The sequence below is a fragment of the Homo sapiens genome, chromosome 4 (assembly GCF_000001405.40).
Source record: "Homo sapiens chromosome 4, GRCh38.p14 Primary Assembly".
NCBI lineage: Eukaryota > Metazoa > Chordata > Mammalia > Primates > Hominidae > Homo > Homo sapiens.
In genome coordinates, this window is record NC_000004.12 from 184,817,308 (window position 1) to 184,825,456 (window position 8,149).

General features: G+C 46.1%; 1 protein-coding gene across 13 annotated transcripts in view, besides 3 other annotated features; it reads right to left on the reverse strand.

Annotated features, from left to right (window-relative positions):
• ACSL1 (acyl-CoA synthetase long chain family member 1) overlaps positions 1 to 8,149 on the reverse strand; it is a 71,000-nt gene that overhangs the window by 61,713 nt on the left and 1,138 nt on the right. For 2 of the 13 annotated variants that reach the window (NM_001381878.1, XM_047449819.1), the window contains one exon: positions 7,859 to 7,929. The exons of the other annotated variants lie outside the window; for them this stretch is intronic. The gene's annotated coding sequence lies outside the window, so the exon portion shown is untranslated. Of the gene's footprint in view, positions 1 to 7,858; positions 7,930 to 8,149 lie in introns of those variants that run through there. 13 annotated transcript variants of the gene reach the window in all.
• Positions 397 to 476: an enhancer, noted in NCBI's record as "active region_22238". NCBI's record gives its function as "activates an Ori minimal core promoter by ATAC-STARR-seq in GM12878 lymphoblastoid cells {active_cell/tissue: GM12878}" and the evidence as "EXISTENCE:reporter gene assay evidence [ECO:0000049][PMID:35858748]".
• Positions 1,117 to 1,206: an enhancer, noted in NCBI's record as "active region_22239". NCBI's record gives its function as "activates an Ori minimal core promoter by ATAC-STARR-seq in GM12878 lymphoblastoid cells {active_cell/tissue: GM12878}" and the evidence as "EXISTENCE:reporter gene assay evidence [ECO:0000049][PMID:35858748]".
• Positions 7,910 to 7,979: an enhancer, noted in NCBI's record as "active region_22240". NCBI's record gives its function as "activates an Ori minimal core promoter by ATAC-STARR-seq in GM12878 lymphoblastoid cells {active_cell/tissue: GM12878}" and the evidence as "EXISTENCE:reporter gene assay evidence [ECO:0000049][PMID:35858748]".

Sequence of the window (8,149 nt, forward strand, 5' to 3'; positions counted from 1 at the left end):
GCACCCCTCACATTAAATGCTTTTATCTATAAACCATATACAAGTATTTTCTGACCATTAGAAAACACACAAATATGAATTTAAAAGATGGCCAAAAAATAACTATCCATAGAAGTTCTAATGTTTCTATTCTATTCTACAATCTAATGGATGGTCTAGGCAGCCACTATGGGGCATACACCCCACTCTGGAGACAGTCCTTCCATCTCCTGAGCAGCCCTGCAGCCTCTTTGGTGGCTTGCCTGCCTTGTGTCTCCATCTGTTCCCCACCATGGGCAACAATGCATGAAACTGCTAATGGAGGCACCCTGAAATGCGTGCCACACCTGGGAGGCAGAGGGACAGTGCCTGCAAAAGCCTGCAAAAAGGGACTGTCACATCAAAGAGGGAGGAAAAGACACTCAGCATCACCCAGTGATGAAGGGAAGCATGCCAGAGAGAGCAGGACGCTACTGGTGACCGTCGCCTGGCCTGCCTGAGAGGGTGAAGAGACTGAGCCGGCCTCTCTGCAGGACAGAGAGGCTTGAGGCCGAGACCCACGCCAGGCTCCAGGGCTGGCCTCCTCTGAAGGTCTGTCCTGGACACCCTGAAGCTTCAGCCCTGACCCCAAGGACAAGGATCTTCACCCTGCCTGAACTCTAGGGAGGTCTTGGCATCGGCAGAGTTTGCCTCTGACTCACATCAGGAGAGAAAAGCACAGACTGGCTGTCTTCAGAGTCTAACCTGGGAGTCTGGGCTGCTCAGCCACCCCCTCAAGAACTCAGTTCCGTCCACTGTGAGGTGCCTGGCTGGGCTGCTTGACAGATAAGGTCCCCCGCCAGCTCCCCATCCTGGGATGCCTCAGAAGCTTGCCTGAGGCGCAATGTAGGTAACTGTCCTACAGAAGGAACAATGAGCCATTTGACCATTTCACTAGTGGCACAGAAACAAGGGGCAATTTGAACACAAGAATACCAGGTAAAGGAAGACTACAGTAGAGTTATGTAACATTAGCTGGAGCTCAACACTAATCTCCTCCCCTCTCACACCCTGCAAAGACCACAGCCACCTGCTTCTCCAACACAAGTGAAACTACACGGAAAGAAACACCTCAGATGTACTCCGAAACACAAACTTCACTCAGTGAAAGCACAGGCTTAGGTCCACAGACTTTCGATGCCTTGATCTTGGCTATAAGATCTACGTTTTGCACAGTATCAGAATAGACAAACCTGGAACATTACAATGTATATTCTTGTTAGGGACCACCTTCTATGGGACATCTGACCATCGGAACCTGCCCTACCCTCAATCCATCATTAGATAATCTTACATGCTTACTAGCGGTAAGGCCCTGTATTAAACGCTGCTGAAAACACAGAGATGACAATGACTAGGTCTCCCATGTGCCCAGAGCTTAGAGTGTGGCTGGGGTGCCAATCTGTGGAAGCCAGATATGCACTCATGAAAAGATGCACGTGGGACAGAGGCTGGGATGCTCATCAAAATATTTAATAGCCAGTACGGCCAGACACCAACCAGCCAGAAAAGACACAGGCCAGTGCACCAAAACAGGGCTCCAAAGTTCCTCTACTGCCCCATGTATTAACCCTTTAGTTTCCATATGAAGGGCGGGGGCACTTGGGTAGCAGCTATTCTCTAGCCAGGATGGGAGTATTTCGATATTTTAACCACTAGCATGATCGCTGGTGCATCTACAGCTGAATGACAGTGAGTGTAGGTGAGGAAGGGGAGAGTCACTCCAGGAAAAGTGCCTCTGAGGAGCAGGGCTCTGTGGGACAAGGAATGGCATTCCAAATAGGCCAACATGGGCATCGTACCATTTAGATGTACTTTTTTTTTTTTTTTTTTTGGAGACAGAGCCTCACTCTATACCCCAGGCTGGAGTGCAATGGCACGATCTTGGCTCACTGCAACCTCTGCCTCCCAGGCTCAAGGGATTCTCCTGCCTCAGCCTCCTGAGTAGCTGGGATTACAGGCGCCTGCCACCACACCTGGCTAATTTTTGTATTTTTAGCAGAGACAGGGTTTCACCATGTTGTCCAGGCTGGTCTCGAACTCCTGACCTCAGATGATCCACCTGCCTTGGCCTCCCAAAGTGCTGAGATTACAGGCGTGAGCTACCACACCCAGCCTAGATGTACTCAACACAAACTTTATCCCAGCAAAAGCACAGACTTGAGTCTAGAGATTTTCAGTGTCTTGATCTTAGCTATAGGATCAAAGACACCATCGGACCAGGACACAGGAAGGTCAGTCAGGCAGATGACAGCACCCAGGTACAGTGTCTTGGGTACACAGACCCATTAACCCCATGCCGCCAGAGTTTGCTTTCTAGAAGCCTCAGGATATGGTGGTTTGGAGAGGAGTGGAGATAGCAGGTAGGAAGCAAGCTGCAGAAGCCCCTGACAGGCAAGGTAAGTAAACACCTGGAGCCTTATGGAGGGGAGCCTGGAAGGCTTCTGCTTAGGAGGGATTTGATCAGAGCTGTGATTTAGAAAAAGCAACCATCCCCCTCTGCACCCTGCCCCTCTTCCTAACAAAGGCCTTCACTGTTTAAATTGGAGGTGACAATTCTGGTTCACGATGGCAATACTGAGAAGGCAAGGAGGAAATGCATGTGTGTTGGGTAATACTGCACAGAGAGGGTCAGAATAAGCAGAACTGCTGACTGACTGGACTTCAGGGCAGAAACCAAGGGCAATACCGACGTCCAGCCATTCTTTGAACAGGCACAGGGCCCGGGAACAAACTCCACACGTGTGCATGGCCAGAGGGTCAGGCAGGTTGTGTTACCTTGGCCAAGTCACCCCCCTCCGATCCCTGCAGACTCCCAAGTAGCTGGGACTACAGGTGCCCACCACCATGCCTGGCTAATTTTTTGTATTTTTAGTAGAGACAGGGTTGCACCGTGTTAGCCAGGATGGTCTTGATCTCCTGACCTCATGATCCGCCCACCTCGGCCTCCCAAAGTGCTGGGATTACAGGCGTGAGCCACTGCACCCGGCCAGTCATGCGTCTCAATTGTTCTCCAGCCTTACAAGACCAATGTCCAGGGCAGGCAAAGCCTTTTATTTTTTAATTCTCTAGAAAGTCACAGCTACATAGCAAGTGATCTTATCACTCCCTGAGCCACGCTGAATCAAAATTTGTGGTCTCTTTCAGCACTCTAGTGGTATAAAGAGATAATTCAAGGCAGAGTGTAAATGAGATGGGGGTAAAATCAAGGAGCAGTGACACCGAAGGAGACCCAGCTCTGTCCTTCCTGTCTTACTGCCAGCTGTATAACCTGGAACTTTCTTTTTTTTTCTTTTGGAGACAGAGTCTCACTCTGTCACCCAGGCTGGAGTGCTGTGGCGCAATCTTGGCTCACTGCAGCCTCCGCCTCCTGGGTTCATGCGATTCTCCTGCCTCAACCTCCCGAGCAGCTGAGACTACAGGCACGTACCACCACGCCCAGTTAATTTTTGTATTTTTAGTAGAGACGGGGTTTCACCATATTGGTCAGGGTGATCCACCCGCCTCGGCCTCCCAAAATGCTGGGATTACAGGCGTGAGCCACCGCACCTGGCCTAACCTGGAACTTTCTAGGCCCTCCTGGAGTGAGAACTTCTAGCTCTGGAGGGGCAGTAGAGCCCAGCAATTAGGAGCACAGACCCTGAAGCCAGACTGCCTAGGTTCAAATTCTGGTATGGGGAACTTAATCTTTGCACCTGTTCCTTTATCTTGTGTACAGTAAGGATAGCAGCAGGACCTACCTTACAGGGTTGCTGAAGGTACTAATGAGTTAACCCATCAGAAGCTTAGCAGCACCTGGCTCTGTCTGCTGCTCTCATCACTGCTCTGTTCCTAAGCCTGGCCGTGTCCAGGCTGTGGCTACCACCTCGGTCAGCTACCACAGCCCTGCTTTGTGGCAGACACCTGGACCCTGAAGGAGAAACTAGCTCCGGAAGCACTTTCTCATGACTCTGCTTAATAAAGGAATAAATAGTATTCAGAGTGTTTCAGTCCTTCTTATATGGACATTTCTCCCACAACAAACCTAAGGGGAAAGTGCCCATTTCTATAGCAGCCAAAGCTGTGCTAATGGATAGAGCCTACATTTATCAGAAGTCCCCTCCAGAATGAGGAAATGGTCTACAGGCAGGCCCCGTTTCCTCCTCTGATGCCCTAACTTCTTTCCATTTCTCTTTCCAAACCATGAAATCCCTATTTCAACTGCTTTTGACTAGAATACATGAACCCAAAAGTCCATTAAACCTATTCATTAGTAAAAACACTTTTCAAATTATTGTTAATTTCAAGAGTTTTAAAGCAGAACATTTTTTATTTTTTAAAGACGTATTTAAACATATAACAAAGGTTGGTAAACTGTTCTGAAAAATATCCAACAAATGGGGAGAAGTAACTAAATTATGGCCCATACAGCAAATAATGCAGTCATCTTCAGAACTTATTTTTTGAAGAATATGTAACAACGTGTAAAAAAGCCCACAATATAACTTAGGTGATAAAGTTAAATTGTCAAAATTGTAATCTTTAATTAACAATGTATGCTTAAAATTTGTTTATTGTATAGGGAAAAAAGACTGGAAGGAAATATAACAAAATGTTAATAGTATTTAATCTCTGGAAGAGCTTCATTTTTCCTATTTCCCAAATTTTCTCCAGTAAGTATGTATGACTCTTAAAATATGAAAAACAAATACAGCTTTTCTGTGGCAAGTGGTTTTTAGATATTAGACAGCTTTCAGAATTTTATTTAAACTTGAAGACCAGCAAATAATTCATAAAGAGAATCAGCCCAGGCACCTATATGGAACCACCAGTTTTGAGATTTTATTTTATTGTTTTTACTTTTTTTTTTCTAGAGATGGGGTCTTGCTCTGTTGCCCAGGCTGGTCTTGAACTCCTGGCCTCAAGCAACAAGCTATTTGCCTCCAGATGATCACATCCTTCTAAGGCAGGCAGCACAGGGGAGCAGGGCCCTTACTCACCTCCACTTAAGTTTTTGTCCAAGGGTGACACCCTCCAAGCCAGCCACACTTCAAGGAGTCTCCAATATTTCACCCGCCCCTCTTGATTCCTCAAAGGTCATAAGTGAATCAATACTGTGTTGTTTCTAACACAGTCAAGAACATGAAAGTGGGCTGGGTGCAGTGGCTCACGCCTGTAATCCTAGCACTTTGGGGAGGCCAAGGAGGGCAAATCGCTTGAGCCCAGGAGTTCGAGACAACTGGGCAATATGGCAAAACCGCTTCACTACGAAAAAAATACAAAAATTAGCTGGGCATAGTGATGTGCGCCTGTAGTCTAAGCTACTGGAGAGGCTGAAGTGGGAGGATCAACTGAGCCCAGGGAGGTGGAGAGGCTGCAACGAGCCATGATCATGCCTGTACTCCAACCTGGGCGACAGAGTGAGACCTTATCTGGGAAAAAAGAAAAAAAAAAGAAAGTGAAAATGTCATGATGTAGAAAATGAACATAACTCAGATTATGTGATAGTTTTCTCTTCTTGCCATTATATACAACCCAAGGCTTGCCACAAACTGAAATTTCTTATGCATTGACATTCAGCATTTGATGTAAAATGACAATCTTAGAGTCGCTGCCACAAACCCTGGTAAAACTGCCCCTGCCTTCTCCAGTTCACTAAGTTCAGCTACTCCTTCAGGGCTTGTGCTCCTTTAAAACTTTTCAGAAGCCCCTTGAAGTACCAACATGTTGAAACTCAAACTCAACTGCCTGCAGCTTCAGATCAGCTCTGGCCACTGAGAATTCTTCTCCAGGCCCCAGTGTCAAAGGCACTTTTGACCATCATGTGTTTGTCTGACTACCAAGTTGGACTGCCAACCTTCACTAAAAACTCCGGCACCTTTATCTACCTCCTGTCAGATCACCGCCTGTCAGAGAGGGAGGCCTAAAAAGGCTTCAGGATATCAACAGCTTTGAGCTGCCTTAGAGGAACTTCTTTTCTATTTTGTAGTACAGGAGCCTCATGCACTGCATCATCCAAACAAGACTCTCCACAAAACATTACTAATGGATTCTAATTGAACAGAGTTTGGTTACAAGAGACAGTAAACACAAATGGGCACCTGTTTTAAATGGCAAACTTACACAATAAATTCAATTGATCTTAAAAACTAAACATTCCTCTAAGGTTACTGACTATAAATATCTAGAAATTACTACTCCTATAGTCTTGCTATTTCCAGACAAGTGAAACTGGAAGGGAGAGAGGAGAAATACCCAGTTATAATGACAAGACAACCTTATCTTTTCTCAAAAGCCTCCCCAAACACACAACCATTTTCCACAAAACAGTTACATCAAAAAAGATGTAGCAAGACCTAGACATTAAGCATGCTAGAAAGTAGGGACAGTTTTACCAGTGTTTGTGGCAGCAACTCTGAGATAGTCATTTTACATCAAATGCTAAATGTCAATGCATAAGAAATTTCAGTTTGTGGTAAGCCCTGGGTTATATATAATGGCAACAAGAGAAAACTATCACATAATCTGAATTACGTTCATTTTTCTGCATACACCATGCATGCTGGTACACTTTCAGTTAGCCTAAACTTCACCCAAAAGTAGAGGTGGCTATGAAAACTCTACCTGCATGGTATAAATAGATACCTAACCCTACATGCATGGGTCACTTGTATCTACCTCCTAAATACCAAAAACTTAGAAGCCCAGATTTCTTTTCAGTCAGGCTGCCTGCGATAACAATAAAAATACTGCCAAAATAGGAACAACAGAGACAGGAAGGAAATATGCCAAAATGCTTATAATTGTGGGGAAGGGTAATTTTTTGTTTTGTTTTGTTTTTTACAGAGTCCTGCTCTGTTGCCCAGTCTGGAGTGCAGTGGCGGGATCTCAGCTCATCACAACTTCTGCCTCCTGAGTTCAAGCGATTCTCCTGGCTCAGCCTCTCGAGTAGCTGGGACTAGAGATGCATGCCACCACGCCTGGCTAATTATTTGTATTTTTAGTAGAGATAGGGTTTCTCCATGTTGGTCAGGCTGGTCTCGAACTCCTGACCTCAAATGATCTGCCCGCCTCGGTCTCCCAAAGTGCTGGGATTACAGTGAGCCACCACGCCTGTCTGGGTAATTTTTTTTTAAGTATTCTGTTTACAGTAAATTCAGAAAACAGAAGTCTTTAATATGTCTGTTTTAAAGGGGAGAGGTATAAGGTGTGCGGCTAACAAGTTTATTTTTCTAGTCGCAGAATTTGGACTCGTGAAAGATTTTAGTCTAATGCAGTTTGTTCACAAATATAAGGAGGGGGGCCTCAGACTAGGGAGGTGTTTTCCGAGTTGAGTCAGAACAAGAAAGTAAGTCTCCCAAGACCTGGTCCTTTTCCACTATATCACACTGCACTGTCTGGCTCCAATCTGATGGCGAGCAATGGTTCCTTAAAAAGCTCCATCTTCTCAAGCCTACCCAGCACAGACCTACAACTCAAACTTTAAGTTTTAGCCAGCCTAACCTTCCACGTCCACTTGAAAAAAGAAAAAAAAGAAAGAAACAATCAACCGGAAGCCTTTGATTTTTTTGCTAGCAAGAAGCCAATAATTGTTTTCTTTGGGACAATCACAGGTTAAGTTGTGAAATGGGTGGCAGAAACTGCAAGATTTAACCAGTTTCTCTCAACGCTAATCAAAGGTCAAGAAAATAAAAGACAGGGCAGTGAGAGTCGCGGGACTTTAGACACTCCTGCACCAAGAAGCTTAAAAGTCTTAGCCAGGGCACTAGAGAACGCTTTTAGAATGGTCACTCTTAATTATGCTCCATAACCTTGAAATTGGACTGAGTGGGGAAGGGGTTTCCACACTCTCACAACGCACCGACTGGGGGAACGCCTGTCCCCAGACTCGAATCCACGTGTCCATTCAAGTCATCTACCGCCACTCTCCGTCTACGCTGCCAGGTGACAGACATCATCTTTGCTTCTCAATTTCAAAAAATGCCAGCACTCCTTAGATCAATGACTCCACGGCCAAGTGCAAGGGCCACGGGCACTCCTCTGGAGTCACCGAGAGAATGTCTGCCTCTGGCAGCGGCCTCTGAGCTGCCTGTGGGCCTCGTGCCGCCGCGCTGCGTGGGGCCGGCATCTCAGCGGGCGCGAGTGCAGTCTC